The sequence below is a fragment of the Homo sapiens genome, chromosome 12 (genome assembly GCF_000001405.40).
Source record: "Homo sapiens chromosome 12, GRCh38.p14 Primary Assembly".
Lineage (NCBI taxonomy): Eukaryota > Metazoa > Chordata > Mammalia > Primates > Hominidae > Homo > Homo sapiens.
In genome coordinates this window covers 91,956,673-91,977,478 of record NC_000012.12, presented here as the reverse complement: position 1 = coordinate 91,977,478, position 20,806 = coordinate 91,956,673, and the positions used below count along the sequence as shown (strand labels likewise).

At 38.9% G+C, this 20,806-nt stretch overlaps 1 long non-coding RNA gene across 1 annotated transcript in view, besides 1 other annotated feature; it reads left to right on the top strand.

Annotated features, from left to right (window-relative positions):
- The first annotated feature begins 8,101 nt into the window (after positions 1–8,101).
- Positions 8,102–20,806, top strand: part of LOC105369901 (uncharacterized) — a 53,084-nt gene continuing 40,379 nt past the window's right edge. Inside the window, exons 1-3 of the long non-coding RNA XR_007063580.1 lie at positions 8,102–8,634; positions 12,351–12,436; positions 16,400–16,474. This is a non-coding gene — a long non-coding RNA (uncharacterized LOC105369901). The remainder of the gene's footprint in view (positions 8,635–12,350; positions 12,437–16,399; positions 16,475–20,806) is intronic.
- Positions 14,759–14,963: a silencer, noted in NCBI's record as "fragment chr12:92356292-92356496 (GRCh37/hg19 assembly coordinates)". NCBI's record gives its function as "represses an EF-1alpha promoter that drives an FKBP-Casp9 reporter gene in an ReSE screen in K562 erythroleukemia cells {active_cell/tissue: K562}" and the evidence as "EXISTENCE:reporter gene assay evidence [ECO:0000049][PMID:32094911]".

Sequence of the window (20,806 nt, the reverse complement as noted above, 5' to 3'; positions counted from 1 at the left end):
AACATTTTCTAGATGGCCTGCTCTCAGATCTTGGCTCTGCTATTTACTAGCCACATGAACTCAGGTAAGTTACTATACCTCTTGACAATCAGGATAATACAAAGGAAAATAAATTGTTCTACCAAAAAGACAGATGCACTTGTATGTTCATTGCAGCACTATTCACAATATCAAAGACATGGAATCAACCCAGTAGTCCATCAACTCTGGATTGAATAAAGAAAATGTGCTACATATTCACCACGGAATACTATGCAGCCATAAAAAAGAACAAAATCATGTCCTTTGCAGCAACATGGATACAGCTGGAGGCCATTATCATGAGAAAACTAATACAGAAACAGAAAATCAAATATCACATGTTCTCACTTACAAGTGAGAGTTAAAAACTGAATACGCATGAACATAAAGATAATAACAATAGACAATGGAGATTACTAGAAGGGAAGTAGAGGAGGGGTCCAAGGGTTGAAAAACTACTCTTTGGGCACTATGCTCCCTACCTGGGTGATGGAGATTCATTTGTACTCCAAACCTCAGCATCATGCAATATACCTTTCTAACAACTGACACATGTACCCCTGATTCTAAAAGAAAAGTTGTTGTTGTTGTTGTTTTTGTTGTTGTTTTGAGACAGAGTCTCATTCTGTGGCCCAGGCTGGAGTGCAGTGGTGTAATCTCGGCTCACTGCAACCTCTGCCTCCCAGGTTCAAGTGATTTCCCTGCCTCAGCCTCCTAAGTATCTGGGATTACAGGTGCCTGCCACCACAACTGGCTAATTTTTATATTTTTAGTAGAGATGGGGTTTCACCATGTTGGCCAGGCTAGTCTCGAACTCCTGACCTCAGGTGATCCACCCACCTTGGCTTCCCAAAGTGCTGCAATTACAAGCATGAGCCACCGCCCCTGGCCTTAAAATAAACGTTTTTTAAAAAGGAAATGACAGTACTCCATAGCACCCGTCTTATGTTCAATGCTCCCAAAAGCAGGCTCTGAGGACAGACCATTGTGTGTAGATGGCTCACTGGGGAAGCTTCTGAGGAATAGCGCTGTAACAGGGGGAGAGGAGCAGGATGGGGAAGAGATGCAGGTGCAACAGAGGCCTCAGCCCACCATGGAAGCTGGGGAGCTGGATGGCCCTTTAGAGAGCGGTCTCATAATAAGGCAAGGAAGCTGAGGCTTTGCCCTCTCTCACCCGCAACAACTAGGCATTGGAAGTGGACTACCCACAGTGAGGGCTCATAACCTTGAATGAGGCAGTTCCTTTGGCTGAAAGCAACTTCTGGAGAGCAACTCAGCTCTGAGTGGTCATTCGCCAACACTGTATTAAATAGCTGGGGAAATAAGGGTCTTGATCCTGTGGTCAGTTTTGGAGTGACACGTCACAGAATTTGCTACAGGATTATTGTGAGCATGAAATGAGTTAATATACAAAATATGCTTGGAACAGCACACGGCTTGTGGTAAGTACTGCGTACAAGAGAGCTGTCACTATACTCAAGATCTATGGTAGCAACACTAAGGTTTGTGTAGTTACATACACTTTAGAAAAGAATTTCGTATGGATTTTGATCCTTATAAAGGCTCTATAGATGAGTGGCGTAAGTAATCTACAATTCTTTATATGAAAAATTTAGGCTCAGAGCAGTAAATGACTTGTCCAATACCACCCAGTTAGTAGGGACTAGGTTTCCCCTGTTTTCAATTTTTCATCTTGTTCTACAACTAACTTTTCAAGTCACAAGTACCCATATGTAAGCTCAGCCTCATCACTCCTAATTTTAGGATGAATTGCTTAAGAATTTACAATGCTGTAGTTTAACAGCAAGATGAAGCATCAAGGATCTTGCACCTGCCTGCCTTGGCCCTATCTTGAGCCATATTAAAGTTACAAAGGTAGCTTATGAAAGTGAAGGCATTTCACCAGGGAAGGTTGACCAGCTGACAATGTTATAGCCCTTATGACATAGCCTTTACTTTAGCGGGTTCTGTTATATGTTGGCCCTCCACTTCTGATGCTGTGTTTTCTGAAAGTAGAGTAAATGTTCAGGGAAATAGCACACTAAACAAACAAACAGACTGGTGTTTAAGCAGAATCCTACTTTATTATTATTATGTAATGGCCTTTATTTTTTACAACAGTCTGATTTACAGAAAAATTAAAGATGGTACAGAGAATTCCCACATACTCCACACCCAGCTTCCCCTATTATTAACATCTTACTTTAGGGTGGCACATTTGTTACAATCAATGAACCAATACTGATACATTAACATTAATTAAAGTCCATACTTTATTCAGAGAATGCTACTTTAGTATGTTACCAAAATACTTGAATGCCTAGAGCCTCCCTATAGGCAAACTAATCAGGCATTTACCTGGTAAGCATAAATTAGATTAAAGAGAGTTGATTGATCTAAAGAAATACACCTCAACTAAAATAACTAGAGGCTCTTTTCTCCACTACAGGGGTACCAGCGAAGCCGCCCTAATGTTTTTGCCTGGTAACCAAATGCTTCTCTCCCCTGATTAGCACTGCACATGCACTGTTAGTCTTTGTCTCTGGGACTCTCATTTTTCTGTGTTCCATGGTTGACCAACTACCCTTTTAAGATTATCACATTAATAACTCTAATGAGTTTACAGGGAAGGTCTACTCTGGCCAGATGGTCATGTTGCCTGCTTGGGGAGATTTTGCATATTTCTGTGCTGATTTCATAGCTTAACTTTCTAAGGGCAATACTCTATCCCCTATTTAGAGAGGCAGCATAGTAAGCAGAGTGTTCAGAGCTCAGGCTCTGACATTAGATTGTCTGGGCTTACATCTCAGCTTACCTTTTGCTAACAGTGTGACCTGGGACAAGTTGCTTTAACCTGATGTGCCACAGCTTCTTTATCTACACAGTGGAGGTGTGTGGGCGGCAGGGGTTGATATTCATTCAGCTTTTCATTTATGTTGTTTGTCTTCTAGGTGTTAAGATACTACAAACAAATAACCAACTCTGTCCAAACCAATAAGAATGCTAAAGATTAACTCCACAAATGCAGGCAGTTTCAGAAAAGTATACCAAAATTGAATGGACCTAATGAAATGACAGTAGGAAAATAATAAAAGTTATTTGCAGTTTTTGTTTAATTAAGTAAGCTGTTTTGCATTTCAATATTAATGTAAGAACTTTAGGCTGAATGTCTCCTGTCTTCAAACAGGGCCACAGGTGAATTTGAGAGAGAACCCAGGGACAGATGGCAGGAATGGAGGTGGGAGTGGAGGAGTGACACTATACACTTGGTCTGGCCAGATGTATTGAACTTTGATGTGACAAACCCAGGTCAGATATTCTCAGCGTTTAGCAAACTTCTGAATATCCTGGTCAGTCTTGAAGTACACTTCTTCCCTTTCCTTTTTCTGTTCCCAACATCTCTGCTTTACTGCCCACGTACTGAAACACTGAAACACACCCAGTCAGATGTCAGACTAGGCTGTCTCAGGCTCTAAAATTACCCAACATGCCATTGATTAAAACCCTCACTTCCCATCCAAGAAGTCCAACTCAGGGAGTTAGAAATAAGTATGTGATTCTCTTTATAGACTGGCATGTAAATTATGAACTTGCCTTTTAATGAAAGACATTTTAATATTTTATTTCTAAGCCTGGCAAGATATAATAACTTTAGGATGGGAAGTAAGTGCCACTCCCCATTCCTGAAGCCATGACAGGCATTGTTAATCCATCTCTGGACTCCCTGTCATTGGTCCTGGTCTGGCCTCAGAGTAGTTTACAACATGGTGTTACAGGTAGCAACTACCACTTAGTTGGAGTAGGCTTGAAATTTAAACTCCTTGCCATCTTTGCACTACATGTTTTAACTTACTACATATGTAAGTAACAGCAAGATACTCTGACACTTTGTCCTATGCATATGATATACCTTAAAATATTTTAAATTATAAAAAACATTAAGTCTGCATTGTGCTTGGGTAACCCAAGAAAAAGCAGTATTTTAACATCAGAAACCTCTTTATCAAAGTAGTTTTCAGCAAAAACTATTTAATGTCAAGGACCACCATTTTATGGATTTCAGAAAGTGCTAACTAATTAGCTTTGGTGTTTGGCAAGGGCAATGGGTAGTTTTAAGACAGAAAAATGGTTTTAAAAAAGTGGACAGGGCAGGAGGCATTGCAGAGAAAGGCATGAAGGATGAAATAAGGTCATTCTTCCTTCTCCTTTAAATGGCTTCTCTATGTGTTTCTCTCTCTCTATCTGCCTGTCTCTTTCTCACTCGCTCATACATACAAAATAAGACAATTGCATTCATTATCTATGATAATGAATGAAATGAAATATGAATGAATGAAATATGCCTTGCATATGGGGAGACTCTTCAATCATCAGTTTCATTTGTGTAAAATTATGTTTTGAGGTTTTACAGAAAAAGGCAGAATTGGAAAGTTTCAAAGGATTTGGGAATCAAAGACCTTTTGTGTGAATCTTGGTGCTGCCATTGATACTTGCCTGTAGGAATAAGGGAAAATAATGAACCATCATGGAGTCTTGGTTTCCTCAGGAAAATGGCTGAGATGGTAATAATACCTATCTTTCAAGATTTCATGAGCACTAAATGACTGAACTTTTCTGACAACACTTTAAATCAGTAAAGTGCTAACAAATATGGGCTATTTTTGATAAATGATATGTGGAGAACTTATAAAAAATATAAAACACACAGTAGCTATTGCTATTCATCAATGTTATTATGAACATATGTTTTTAATCTTCAGTTAAAGTTTTAAAATACTAAACTTTCTATATTTTCTGTTTTAAAATAGAGGCAATATTGTTGAACTTAGATAACTCTTTATAATATTTCTATTTCCTCTAATTTTTCTGGGTATTAATAACTTTATATATTGATTAATGTAGATTCAGCAGCAACTTCTATTAGACCTTTATCCACAGGTATGAGAAGCACAGTGGTCACTACTGGTTGGCCCACGTGTGGGGCAGTTATACGTGACATTCTATTAACTTCAGGAAACTGTGCAATACCTTATCTCCAGGTTTGTCTAAAATTGAATTTGGATTTCCACTCAGTGCTTTTGTGGTCCAGCAGTCATCAGATAAACTGCAATCTCTTTATTTAATATTTAGTTCAGGCTAATGGGCTGAATTGACTAAACACTCAAAATTCTCTCACAGAAAAACCAGGTTCCTCACTGAATTCTCTCTCAGTTATTTTTTCCTTGGAATATTTGTTAATACAATTGACTTTCACCGCCTGTACTAATAAAAGCAGAGCTCAGGTGCAGATTATCCAAAGTGAATGCGATCAGTCGCAAGAAGCTACTTGGAGGTATATAGAGACAGAATTGAGAAAGAGCTTTTTCAGCCTTTTAGAAGAGTCCTCACTAATATGGTTAGGATCTGTGTCCCTGTCCAAATCTCATGTTCAATTAGTAATCTTCAATGTTGGAGGTGGAGCCTGGTAGGAGATGATTGGATCATGGGGGTGGTTTCTCATGGTTTAACACCATTCCTCTTGATTATGTTGTCACAATAGTGAGCTCTCGTGAGATCTGGTTGTTTAAGAGTATGTAGCACCTCCTCCCCTGCTCTCTTGCTCCTGCTCCGGCCATGTAAGACATGCCTCACGCCCCCTTTACCTTTTGGCATGATTGTAAGTTCCCTGCGGCATCCCCGGAAGCTGATGCCACTATGCTTTCTATATAGCCTGCAGAACTGTGAGCCAATTAAATCCCTTTTCTTTTTAAATTACTCAGTCTCAGATAGTTCTTCATAGCAGTGTGAGAATGGACTAATACAGAAGATTGGTACCAAGTGGTGGGGCACTGAAAATGTGGAAGTGACTTTGGAACTGGGTAATGGGCAGAGGTTGGAAGAGTTCGGAGGTCTCAGAAGAAGACAGAAAGATGCGAGAAAATTTGGAACTTCTTAGAGACTTGTTGAATGGTTGTGACCAAAATTATAGTAATATGGACAATGAAGTCCAGGCTGAGGAAGTCTCAGATGGAAATGAGGAACATTCGGTACTGGAGAAAAGGGCTCTTTTATTATGCTTTAGTGAAGAACTTGGTGGCATTATGCCCATGCCCTACAGATTTGTGGAAGTTTGAACTTGAGAATGATGATTTAGAGTATCTAGTGGAAGAAAATTCTAAACAGAAAACCATTCAAGATGTGATCTGGCTGTTTTTAACTGCCTACACTCATATACGTGAGCAAAAAAATAACCTAAAACTGCAAGTTACGTTTAAAAGGGAAGCAGAGCATAAAAGGTTGAAAAACTTGCAGCCTGGCCATGTGGTAGTAAAGAAAAGCTCATTCAGGGGTGAAATTAAAGCAGGTGGCAAAAATTTGCATAAGTAAAAAGGAGCCAAGTGCTGATGGCCAAGACAATGGGAAGAAATCTTTGGAGGCATTTCAGAGAACTTCATGGCAACCCCTCCCATCACAGGTCCAGAGGCCTAGGAGAGAAGAATGGTTTCATGAGCTAGGCCCAGGGTCCTGATGCCCTGAACACTGGTCCCTGCATCCTAGTCACTCCAGCTCCAGTTGTGGCTAAAAGGAACCCAGGTAAAGCACAGGCCACTGCTTCAGAGGGTGCAAGCCCTAAGTCTAGGCAGCTTCTACATGGTGTTAAGCCTGTGGATGTGCACAGTACAAGAGTTGAGGCTTGGGAACCTCTGCCTAGATTTTGGAGGATGTATGGAAGAGCATGGATGTCCAGGCAGAAGCCTGCTGCAGGGGCAGAGCCCTCATGGAGGACCTCTACTAAGGTAGTGTAAAGAGGAAATGTGGGGTTGGAGCCACATAGAGTTCCCACTGGGGCACTGCTTAGTGGAGCTGTGAGAAAAGGGCTACCATCCTCCAGATCATAGAATGGTAGATCCAGTGGCAGCTTGCACTCTGTGCCTGGAAAAGCTGCAGACACTCAACACCAGCCTATGAGAGCAGCCATGGGAAGGGACCCCTACAAAGCCACCAGGGTGGAGCTGCCCAAGGCCTTGCCTCAGAGTGCTGTGGACGTGAGACATGGAGTCAAAGGAGACTATTTTTGAGCTTTGAGATTTAATGACTCCCCTACTGGGTTTCAGACTTGCATGGTGCCTGTAGCTACTTTCTTTTGGATGATTCGTCTCTTTTGGAATGGGAATATTTACCCAATGCCTGTGCCCTCATTGTATCTTGGAAGTAACTAACTTGTTTTTCTATATTTACAGGCTCATAGGTGGAAGGAACTAGCCTTGTTTCAGATGAGACTTTGGATTTTGGACTTTGGGCTTGTGAGTTAATGCTGAAATGAGTTCAGACTTTGGGGGATTACTGGGAAGGCATGATTGTATTTTGCAATGTGAGAAGAACATGAGATTTTGGAGGGGCCAGGGACAGAATGACATGATTTGGATCTGTATTCCTGCCCATATCTCATGTTTAATTGTAATCACCATTGTTGGAGGTGGGGCCTCGTGGGAGGTGATTGGATCATGGGGGTGGTTTCTCATGGCTTAACACCATTCCCCTTAGTGCTGTCATTGCAATAGTGAATTCTCGGGAGATCTGGCTGTTTAAAAGTGTGTAGCAACTGTCCCCTCTTTCTCTTGCTCCTGCTCTGGCCTCGTAAGACGTGCCTGCTTCCCCTTCACCTTCCGCCATGATTGTAAGTTTCCTGAGGCCTCCTCAGAAACTGATGCCACTATGCTTCCTGTACAGCCTGAAGAACTGTTAGCCAATTAAACTTATTTTCTTTCTTTCTTTCTTTTTTTTTTTTGAGACAGAGTCTCGCTCTCGTCCAGGCTAGAGTGCATTGATGTGATCTCGGCTCACTGCAAGCTCTGCCTCCCAGGTTCACACCATTCTCCTGCCTCAGTCTCCCAAATAGGTGGGACGACATGCGCCCACCACCACGCCTGGCTAATTTTTTTGTATTTTTAGTAGAGACGGGGTTTCACCGTGTTAGCCAGGATGGTCTCGATCTCCTGACCTCGTGATCTGCCCGCCTTGGCCTCCCAAAGTGCTGGGATTACAGGCATGAGCCACCGCGCCCAGCCTAAACTTATTTTCTTTATAAATTACCCAGTCTCAGGCATTTCTTTATTTCAGGGCAAGAATGAACTAATTTACTCACCAAAATATCCTTTCCCTGAGAACCAAGGAGACTGCCTTCTTCCTTTGCCAAGCACATCTTCATTATTTTGCAGATAGATCCTAGTTCTACCCTTATTTATCACTGACATCACATTTGTTTCTCATGATTTTTATGGTGTGCCAGTTAACACCCTGCTTGCACTTCTTAACCACATTGAGCCATTATATGACTGGCTTTAGACTAGTGCTCCCCAGGAATGACCCCTGGGGCTTCTTAGGGTTGAACTCTACTGTGCCTCAGTATGTGGCCAGAATATTGAAAAGTTCAAGCGAATTGTGCTGGTACCAGAGATAAGGAAGTATCTCTACTTTTTGTCTTCCTCTGTAGATTTCTCCCAGAAGTAAAACTCAGATGACTAGGACAAGCTGTGGTGAGAGAAGCCATTGGCTGCCATCTAGACTGTGTTGAAAGCACACAGTCACTTGTTAAAGGCAGTAAGTGTTCACGGCTGACCTTCGCTTGGACAGGTTAGCCTTCTCCTTTCCTAGTTTCAGTGCACCCTATTTTGTGGACCTAGATTAGCATATAGTGGCTAAAATAATGTATGGACTATTTCTGTGATTTAGTGCTTTTTGATTTTGTGCTTTTCATCCTGAAGGAACAGGAGAAAATTAGAATGAGAAGTGGTGGGTTTGAGCACTTACATTTTCCATCCCCACATTCAGCTTCTTTCCTGCTCCTGGGTCCATAATGAGAATGGAAAACATTATTTCCCATGTCAATGACAAATGGCATCTTAGAGTTCAGCTGCTTCCCATCACACTGAGTGTGCAGATTTACATCTCTGTAAAGCAAAGAGGAAGCTTATTTGGACTACTATCTACTTATTTTAATTGTATTTTAATAAATGCTTACTATTTACAAAGTGTACAAAGAAAGGTAACTACTTTCTCCTGGTACCAAAGCCATTAGCTATGCAAGACAATAGCAATAGGAATTTTGTAGGAAGATTTGCTTCTGAGTGGAAAATTCAGTTGCAAATACAGGAGAGGTGGAATTCAACACTGTGAACAGTTGGTAAATTATGTATGTCATCATACCCTGTGCAAATGACTGGCACTGTTCTAAATCTTGAAAACCATGCACATAGCTCCCCAGGCTTCCTGCATATCCCAAAATGTGACAAGCAGACTTCTGCAACAGGGCCTTTTCACTGCTCTTCCCCCTACCTGGAATATTTTCCAACCAACTATTTCTCTGCTTAGCCCCTTCTCTGTTTTTTTTCAGTTCTCTCTTTTCTTTAGGTTTCTGTTCGAATATCACGGTAGTAGATCAGCTGCTTCTAAGCAGCTTTTGTCAAACGGCAACTTCCTATAATCCCTAATCATTCTCTTTTCCTCTTACTCTGTTAATGTTTCTTCTTGGTGTAGTTCGTCACCTGCCATATTATGCATGTATTGGCTTATCCATTTCAGTCTCCTCCTACTAGAATGCAGCTCTTTTGTTCTCTACCAAAGTCCAAGAGTCTAAAACACTGCCTGGCCCATCATAGATACTGAGTAATATTTGTTGCACTAATGGTTAAATGCAGCCTGGAGGGATTGTTTCACCAGCTCACAAGTCAAGGTTTATCTATGACACAGCTCTGGGTCTGTGGCCAAAGAAATTAATAGTATTTATAGCTACAATTTATCAAGTGCTTAGCCTACCATTTTCTGGTTACTTTTTATATTGTATCATTTTATCTTTATAGAAACCTTATAAATAGGAGTTTTATGCCAAACTGAGAGATGAGCGAAAGGTAGATCAGATAGGTCTAAACAAAGTGGCCAAAGCCACACGGCTGGTAAGAGGGGAAGCCATGTCACCAAGACACATCCTTGTGACTCCAAAGCCAAGATTTATTCCACTTCACCAGGCTACCTCTCAGAATAAGAGCAAGAAGACCAGAATGTTTTACTAATTACTCAGCAAAGCTCAGCTTAGTGAGCACTAGCTAATTGTGAATTTAGCTAACTAACTAACTAGTTAACAAAGATCTGGCTTTGAATCCTAGTTCTGCCCTAGGAAAGGATAAGGCATCAAGTAGTTCTGTCTTTAAAATAAACTTATTTGAATATGATCAACCTGATCAAGAAAAAATGACTTCATTGTGGTATAATTTACATACAATAAAATATACCCAACTGAACTGTACAATTTTAAAGACTTTTGACAAATCTATATGCTGTGTAACCACCAGCACAACTAAGATGTAAAACATTTCATAAAAGATATAAAATCTTTCCATCATCCCCAAAAGTTCTCTCGCGCCCCTTCACAAACTCTTGCCACCTCATCCCCTCGGGACCCAGGCAACTACTGTTATGCTTTGAATCTCTATAGCTTGCATTCTTTAGAACTTCATTTAAGCAGAATCAGACAGTATGTACTCTTTATACTGTTTCTTCTGCTGAGCATAATGCTTTTAAGATACATCCATGTTGTGTGCACCACTCTTCATTCTTTTTTATTGCTGAATATATTCAATTATATGAAATTTAGTTATCCATTCTCCTGTTGATGGACATTCGATTATTTTCAGTTTAGGCTGTTACAAACAAAGCAGCTGTGAACATTGTATGCAATTCTTTGTGTGGATGTAAGTTTTTATTTCTCTTGGGTGAATACTTAAGAAGGGAATGACTAGGTTGCCCATGTAAACATGCTAAGTCCATGTTTAACTTTATAAAAAAAAAAAGCCAAAATGTTTTCAAAACTAGTTTTGTCATTGAGACATCTCTTAGCATGGAGTTGCTCATCTGTAAAACAGAGATATTTGACTAGATGATCCCTAAATTCTCTTTCAATGACTTGTGGCTGTAGGACCTGCTGCTGTGTTGGATTTCTGACTCTTGTCTGTCTTGAGCTGCTACACTTTATTATTTTTCTTTTTTTCTTTCAAATATCTTAATTGCTGTACCTCTATCTTGTTCCTGTTAATGTCAAGAAAATGATGATGATAGTAGAAAGCTTTGTGTCAAGCACAATGCTAAATATTTTGCCTGATTTTTCTCTTTTAGTCTTCACATAAGCATTTGCAGTAGATACTATTTTTATATAATCTGTCTTAGTGATAAAGAAACTGAAGCTGAGAAAACTTAAGTAACTCCCCCAAGTTAACAAAGCTATTAACAGGTAGAGTTGGGAAGCAAAATCAGGTCTGCCTGGATTACTTCTAAATTACTGATTTCTTGACCCTCTCTCTGATACCTTAGCTCCTACTTCTTCATTTTTTTATATGACCCTAGGACCTGCCTGGCTGTATTCTGAGTATAATTCACCTTCCCAGTGTTGTTCACCAGTTTTCCTTTCATACTGTGGCATGACATCAGTGTTCAATGACCCAGCAATTTTCCAGAAGGCAACAAAAAAGGCAATTTAGAGAGTGAGGAGAGCTTAAGATCATCTTACTTATGTCAGCTCCATTAAGTTTTCATTAACAGTCAGAATGGGGTTTCTTAAATCAGCATAATGCCAGTAAGCATTGCTTTGAGAAAAAAAAAAAGAAATGCTTAACTAATAGGATATCTTGTCGACATTTTATCTGAATCTACAGAGCCCAGTCATTTGAAATCATCATAGAGGTCATTGCCAATTTTGCACTGAACAATCCCTCTTCTCATCAAGTGGTGAAATTTCCATGCTAGCTTTTTGCAGGAATCAGAACTTGTTACTGGCTCTTCATGCTTTTCTCTGCAGTCATCATTAGGCATAACACGGACTCAGATGCTGAGTATTATCATTTAGATTAGTAAAGTATTGTGTGAATATCCTGAACATTTCCCATTTAATTATTTTTCGATATAGTCTTTTGAGGCAAAAGTGAAGACTTGTACCAATCTCATGGCTCACATGCCACTATAATACCCATGCTATGTTATGTGGCTTGTGAGAGAACCATTTCTTACCTCCACAATATTTATAGTGCTAATCAACCATTACCATTAGAAAAAAAGCAAGAACATAAATTGACTTTAAAAAATCCTGATGAGGGTTCTGAAATTCTTTTCCCTGAGGTAACCTCTCTTCTACTCTTTACTTACAGTCTTGAGGAGTTAACCTAAACTCTAACTCCTCCATGAGCCTATTGTATTTAATTTTCACTGTTTTTATTCTTTGAATTTCTAAATCATTTATAGTCATCCTGGATATTTTAAATGTAATTTTCTGTTTTGTTTTGTCACTTGTGTTTCACTCATAGGGAGGCATTGTAGCATAAAGGAAGAATATTAGACATTGAATTCAGAGAAATATTGGCTTTACCACTAAAAAACAATGTGACTCTGGGTAAGTTTCATATATTCTATGGGTCTCAATTCCTTCATTAAAAAAAAAAAGATAGTGGTCTTCGCAAATTATGGTGTCAAAGCTGTCTCTCTGCTGGTTCTTGCCAGCAACAAATGACAAAATGTATGAAAATTTTAAATTCTGCAAGACAGAGCCATGTCTTATGCCTCTGAACATATTGCATCCTCTCATTCATTTAATAAAAATTTATTTGGTACCTATTATGTACTAAACAGTGCACTTGGTACTAGGAATACAGTCATGAACAAATCAACTCTCCCTCTCCTTATGGACTTGTGGTTTAGCAGAGGACACAGAAATGTGGTAAATCCAAATGATGACATGGTTTTACAAACACTTGAAACATCAGGGAGTTCTCCATACAGTTACTAAAATCAAGGATGCAGAACAAATTTGTTCCCAAGCTTTTGCTGGAGACCAGAAAAATCATACCAATGATGGTGTCTCCTCCCTCTCCCTGACTTTCGTGTTTATACATACTTCTTCCTCAAGTGCCTTATGAATATTTTGTAATCAAATAAACAGAGGCATGTTCTAGACAGAATCTAGATTCTCTCTCGTTACAAACGTGTTCCAATTATAATTATTTCAAAGTATTTTATGGTAAGAAATCTCATATTTAAGAGTCAATGTTTTAGAGTTTTTGGAGTTACTTTTGCAATCCGAAGCTTTCTGATTGGCTGACATTATCATTGCTATCTCTATAATTACAGGCATGCATCATTTAATGATGGGGATACATTCTGAGAGATGCCTTGTTAGGCAATTTTATTGTTATATGAATATCATAGAGTGTTCTTTTACAAACCTAGATGGTATAGTCTACTACACACCTAGGCTATATGGTATAGCTTATTTCTCCTAGACTACAGACCTGCACAGCATGTTACTGCGCTGAATATAGTGGGCAACTGTAACACAACAGTGAGTATTTGTATATCTAAAAATAGAAAAGGTACAGTAAAAATGTGTTATTATAATCTTATGGGACCACTTTCATATAGGTTGTCCATTGTTGACCGAAACGTTGTTAATGTGGCACACGTCTGTATTATCAAATATTATTTGAGTGTCTACTGTGGGTTAAGCACTGTACTATGTACCTAGGATAATTCTGTAATGAAGAAACATAATTTAAATAGGGAATCAAAACGTGTATTTGATTGGAAAGACGTAATGCAGAGCAAGTCTATATCTGGTAAGGTAAGGCTGAAAACAACTAAAATTACGAGATAAAATACAAAATGCTTTCATAAAAGCATTGAAAAATCTAACATGACATAATAAGACATTATTTAAGAGCTAGAATTTAGAGAGGTGAGCAGATCATTGCTTCGGCTTTCAGGACCTTTGCAAACTTAGATTAAATAAATTAACTTAAATTAGCTATCAAATATAGCTGTGAGTTTGAAGGGTTCATAGCCTGGAGGAAAACAGAAGTAAAATTCAGCATCTGTCAAAAGTTGCCAAAGTAGTAATAAACATGGTAGTTATCCGATCCCTTTCCTAGGGCACCAGATTTGGGCACCACCACATGTGATGTGGGGCGGATTGGCCAATAGAAGCCAAGTGAAGTCAGACGCTCAAGATGTAACTAAAGGTAAACCAAAGTGCTTGTTGTAGGGACAGAAGGAAATTTAAGCATGAAGCAGTAGATTCAACCAAGTGCTCAGACCAGAGGGAGCAGTGTCAGAATGGAGAGCAGGAGGCAGAACCTAGAATTTTGTAGTAGGGGTTTGAGCAGCTGGATCTTACATAAGGTTAATGAGCCAGACTGAACATATAATATAAATCAATAATGACAGAAAGAGTTATTCCACATGTGAGACTTTTATTTCAAGCAATGTTTGCTAGAAAATTAAATTTGAGCCCCACTTCACAACCCCATTCTGCAATTCCATCTGTACCATGTTAAATGTAAAATGTCCAGCTAAGGAAGAAGAAGAAGAGGATGAAGGAAGAAGGAAGATGCTCAAATAAACATATTATCTTGTATGTATTTCTGGAACAGAAAAGATTTTCTACCTTTAAAAGCAATGGTAAATCTCAAGAAGAAGTGCTTAAGAGGGCCGGGTGCGGTGGCTCACGCCTGTAATGCCAGCGCTTTGGGGAGCCCAGGCGGGCGGATCGCGAGGTCAGGAAATTGAGACCATCCTGGCTAACATGGTGAAACCTCATCTCTGCTGAAAAAAATACAAAAAATTAGCCTGGCGTGGTGGCGGGCACCTGTAGCCCCAGCTACTCAGGAGGCTGAGGCAGGAGAGTGGCGTGAACTCGGGAGGTGGAGCTTGCAGTGAACCGAGATGCGCCACTGCACTCCAGCCTGGGCGACGGAGGAGACGCCATCTCAAAAATAAATAAATAAATAAGTAAAATAAAAGAAGAAATGCAATATTATCAAATGCCTATCAAATTTTTTGAAAGACAAAAAAGTTAGAAATGAATTTGCTATAAATATAATCAAACATTAATATTTTAGTACACAAAGAACACTACATTTAAATTAAAATATTAAGATCCTAATAAGTAGTTGACATAGAAGGATAATTAATAAAATATAAGTAGATAATAAATGAAACAGATTAATAGCATAATCATATTAGGCAATATTTATTGAATCTTTACTATGTACAAGGAACCATACTATGTACTTTATACATATCATTTCATTTAATCCCCACAATCCTAAAAGCTAGATTCTATTATAAGTCCTAGTTTATAGATGAGTAAATAGGTAGAAACGAGCCAGGGGGCCTTAGGGCTGAGTTTTACTTCTAAATTCCTTTTGTATTGATTAAATTTAGCCTGTTGTTAGTCTCATTATCTTCATCAAGGAGAGTGTCAATAAATATTTATTGTTCATGGTAATATGTAGAAACAGCCTCAGACTCATTTGACTTATACAGTATTACCTATAGCAAATACAAAATCTTATTATGAAAATTATTCTAAAATTTCTTTGGAACCTTAGGAAAAAAGTTAGTAAAAAATTTAGAGAGGTAACTACAAAAGAAAATTCTTTTATTGCTGTGTCTTTAGGCTTTTAAAAAATATACTCTTGTATCTTTTAAAGCATGTTGAAAAAGTTATGTCCATGTTACCTTTCTTTTTAGTTTTTCAAGGCCAAGAATTTGATTTTCAATTAACTTTATAGAGGTCTATATGCATTTTGAACATTTAGTAAATGTATTTGATGGAAAATAACTTAAGAAGATTTTGTTTATTGAAGCTGAGGGAAAAAAATAAAGACTTGCAAACCAATTGATTCCAACATCTGTCATGTTTGGACAGAGTGTTTAAACAACAGTTTTAATACAAATTGAGTTTTGGCTGGAAAACAAGTTCTTATTTCAGAGATGGTTTACCTCAAAAACATTTCGAAGATAAATGTTTTTTTATCTTTTCCAAACATTTATGCTAATTCAAGCACGGGCAAGTTTAAAAGCAGAAACGAGAAAAGTCTTGGACAAGGAAGAATTGAAGATACTAGTGAGAAAATTGGGCCCCTATGATAGCAGCACGAAGCCTTGTGCATTTGATTTCTCCTTTCCCTCCACCACGCTTATCAAATCAGTCAACCAGCCTTAGGAATTGTCTACAATGTCTCCCAAGTTGTTCCCATTTCCTCCTAGTTGCATTGCTAGCATTGCAATGCAGGCCTTGACCCTTTTACTCCTAGACTATTATACTAATTTATTATTCCATTTCCCTACTTCTGGATTCTCTTACCTTCCATCTGTTGCCAACTGACCACCGGACACATTTTCTTAAAGGATCACTTTCTCTATGTCACTCTCCTTCACAGAATTTTTATTGTTTTCTTATTGCCTCTCAATTTGAGTCCTTTAGCTGATAGGAGACTTTCACATCTGATTGGCAACTGCACAACATGGTCTAATTTGTCTGTTTCTCTGGCCTTGTTTCTAATGTTCCTGGATGCAGAGACATACCTATTTGCGGCCTACTTCCTATTCTCCAAGTGCATTTTAATTCCCCTGACTGCATGATTTTGTTCAGGTAATTATCAGTTTTCTCAAATTTGATTTTCCATTTTCATAATATATTGTGCGAAGGTAGAGGGATTGTTGTAAAGTTCGTCTAGATTCTTAGGCCAAGGTGTTGCATTTCCTCTCTCCATCTACTTTAAATAGACTTGGGACCAGAAAAGCCAATGGTGTAACACTATGTCCAAGGTAAAGGCCTGAGAAACTGGGGGCCGCTGATGCAAGTTCTGGAGACCAAAGGCCAGAGAATGTGGAGTTCTGATGTTCAAGAGCAAGAGAAGAATGTTGTCACATGTTCACAAGACAGAGTGAATGAGAATTTGCTTTTCCTCTACCTTTTAGTTCTTTCTAGGGCCTCAGCTGATTGCATGGTTCCTGCCCACATTGGATGAGTGTGGGTTTTGCTCATTAAGTCCACTGATTGAAATGCCGATCTCCAGAAATACTGTCATCAACACACTCAAAATTAATGTTTCATCAGCTATCTGGGTATCTCTTAACTCAGTCAAGTTGACACCTAAAATTAACCATCACATGGGCCTACTAAGAACTCTCTTATACTTTTAAAAATAGTAAGTAGGCATAGATAGGAAAATAAATAATAATATTGCATATTTAGTTAGATCAGAAACACTTCATGGCTCTGGTCAGAGTGTAGAAAGCTAGAATGTTGCTTCCACCTTAACAATAACAAAAAGCCAGATAATCTTCAAAATCATAATTTTTCTTGACCTCATCAGAAAATTGATAACACAAGGAAACTAATTAGCCACAAATCTGAAGAAAGACAGGCACCTCCAAGGAGAAGTGGGGATGTGAGTACTGGTTTACCTGGGCACTGACTTACCTGGACACTGGTTTACTGGGGCAGAGTGAGGGAGGAAGACTGAGTTGTCACAAAAGTGAATAAAAAAATTCAGATACATTTTTGATTGAATTATTAAAAGACAAGGGTGGCTTCCTGGGTGTATAGAACCCACAGGAGCTGCAGATGCAAGAGGAGTTTGTGTTTGTGCACATGTTCTTCTCCATAGACTACACGGTGCACCCTTGAGAAAGATGGAGAACAGGGCAGGAGCTTAAAAACACTTTCTCTTTGATACCAAGCTGGCAGTGGGTGGAGCACAGCAAACAATGTGGAAAACACATGACACTTGGTCCTGATCCTTCCCTCATATCTTTCCTACAGGAAAAAAGCCTCCCATCTTTGGGGGGAAGCACAGAAAACTCTATTGCTCCAATGGCACAGTTAAAATCTATTGCAGCTAATCAGGTGCCAGAGAAAATAAATTCTTCATCACAGGGGGAAGAGCAGAAACTCACCCTCTACCCAGATCATTAGAATTCTCCTTTTGTTGGAGAGTCGTAGGATCACTGAAAAAGCCCTATACCCAAGACCTAGAGACATAGGACCCACCTAAGAGAGAGGATGAACCAGCACAAGAGAAAACTTCCCTCTATCACTCAAACATCAGGTTAACAAAGTCAAATAACATGTCACAACAGTGTGCCACCGTGGCCCCGGCAAAGCATAGAGAAAGACCCTTTCAGGGGCACAGTGTCTCAAGAAAGTCTAAAGCGGGGGCTGGACGCGATGGCTCAGGGGCCGGGCGCGGTGGCTCAAGCCTGCAATCCCAGAACTTTGGGAGGCCAAGGCTGGCAGATCACCTGAGGTCAGGAGTTCAAGACCAGCCTGGCCCACATGGTGAAATCCAGTCTCTACTAAAAATACAAAAAATCAGCTGGGCGTAGTGGTGGGTGCCTGTAATCCCAGCTACTCCGGAGGTTGAGGCAGGAGAATCACTTGAACCTGGGAGGCGGAGGTTGCAGTGAGCCGAGATCATGCCATTGCACTCCAGCCTGGGCAACAAGAGCAAAACTCCATTTAAAAAAAAAAAAATGCCTAAAGCTGAGGTTGAAAGTGGTTAGAACATTGAGAGAAACCCTACTCTAAGCACGAGGTAATATGAAAGGAATTTGAAACTGGTGGTGCACTGAGGGTAATCAGAGCAACATCACAACCCAACCCCAGCTCAACTTCGGACTAGATTGACTCATCAACTAAAAAATCACAGGAAAAACCAAGGTAACAAAGATGATGATTGCCTTTGACAGGATTATCAGTAGACTAGACGTAGACAAGAAAAGGATTCACAAATTTGACAATATGTTAGTAGAAATTACTCAAAGTAAGAGATATAGGAGTTAAAAAAATAATAACAGTTTTAAAAAGAACATCTGAGAGCTGCAGGACAATGTCAAATAGTCTAGTACCTACATAATGGGTATCTTAGGAGAAGAAAGAGAGAAGAAAAACTTGAAGATTAAGAATTACAATAGATTTCTCATTTGAAACTATACAAGCCAGGAGACAGTACAGTAACATCTTTAAATTGGCAGGGAAAAAAAGAAAACCCTGTTAATCCAGAATTTTTTACCCAGCAAAATATTTTCCCGAAACAAAGGATAAATAATGACTTTTTCAGACAAACAAAAACTGAATTAATTCCCATGATAACCACCTTACAAAAAAGTATTAAAGAATGTCTTTCAGATAGAAAGGTTTTAACACCACATAGAAACTTGGATCTATACAGAAGAAGAGTTCTGAAAAATAGTAAAAATAAATTTTAATATAAAAATTATTTTTCATTATTTTAATCACTAAGAGATAATGGTTTGTTTAAAGCAAAAATAGTGGCAATCTATTCTGGGTATGTAGTGTATGTAAAAGTGAAATATCTGATAATACTAGCATGAATAATGGAAGGGAGAAGTTGGTAGTATACTGTTGTAAGTTTATTACACTACAAGCAAAGTATTATAATATTATTTTAAGCTAGACTATGATTAATTAAAGAGTTATATTTTAAACCTTATGGCAACTACTAATTTTTTTTTAATTTTTTCTTAATGTTCTGGGATACATGTGCAGAACATGCAGGTTTGTCACATAGGTATACATATGCCATGGAGGTTTGCTGCACCTACCAACCCATCACCTAGATTTTAAGCCTCGCATGAATTAGGTATTTGTCCTAATGCTCTCCCTCTCCTTTCCCCTAACCCCCTGACAGGCCCTGGTGTGTGATGTTCCCCTCCCTGTGTCCATGTGTTCTCATTGTTTGGCTCCCAATTATGAGTGAGAACATGCGGTGTTTGGTTTTCTGTTCCTGTGTTAGTTTGCTGAGAATGATGGCTTCCAGCTTCATCCAAGTCCCTGCAAAGGACATGAACTCATTCTTTTTTATGGCTGCATAGTATTCCATGGTGTATACATGCTACATTTTCTTTATCCAGTCTATCATTGATGGGCATTTGGGTTGGTTTCAAGTCTTTGCTATTTTAAGTAGTGCTGCAATAAACACATGTGTGCATGTGTCTTTATAGTTGAATTATTTATAATCCTTTGGGTATACACCCAGTAATGGGATGGCTGGGTCAAATGGTATTTCTTGTTCTGGATCCTTGAGGAATAGCCACACTGTCTTCCACAATGGCTGAACTAATTTACACTCCCACCAACACTGTAAAAGTGTTCCTATTTCTCCACATCCTCTGCAGCATCTGTTGTTTCCTGACTTTTTAATAATTGTCATTCTAACTGGCATGAGGTGGTATCTCATTGTGGTTTTGATTTGCATTTCTCTAATGACCAGTGATGATGAGCTTTTTTTCATGTTTGTTGGCTGCATAAATGTCTTCTTTTGAGAAGTGTCTGTTCATATCCTTCACCCAATTTTGATGGGGTTGTTTTTTTCTTGTAAATTTGTTTAAATTCCTTGCAGATTCTGGATATTAGACCTTTGTCAGATGGGTAGATTGCAAAAATTTCCTCCCATTCTGTAGCTTGCCTGTTTATGATAGTTTCTTTTGCTGTGATGTAGCTCTTTAGTTTAATTAGATCCCATTTGTCAGTAAAAGATTGTTTTAAAGGTTTAAATAATAATAAGATAAAAATACAGGCATACCTTGAAGATATTCTGGGTTCAGTTCCAGATCACAGCAAAAAGCAACAACAGCAACAACAAAAAGAATATCACAATAAAGTGAGTCACAAAATATTTTGGCTTCCCAGTGCATTTAAAAGTTATGTTTACACAGCACTCGAGTGTATTAAGCATGCAATAGCATTTTTTCCTAAAAGGCAGTGTACATCCCTTAATTTAAAAAATACTTTCTGGCTAAAAAATGCTAATGATTATTTGAGCTTTCAGCAAATCCTAGTGTATGCTGGTGGAGGGTTTTACCTCAATGTTGATGGCTGCCAAATGATCAGGATGGTGGTTGCTGAAGGTTGGGGTGACTGTAACGTTTCTTAAAATAAGACAACCGTAAAGTTTGC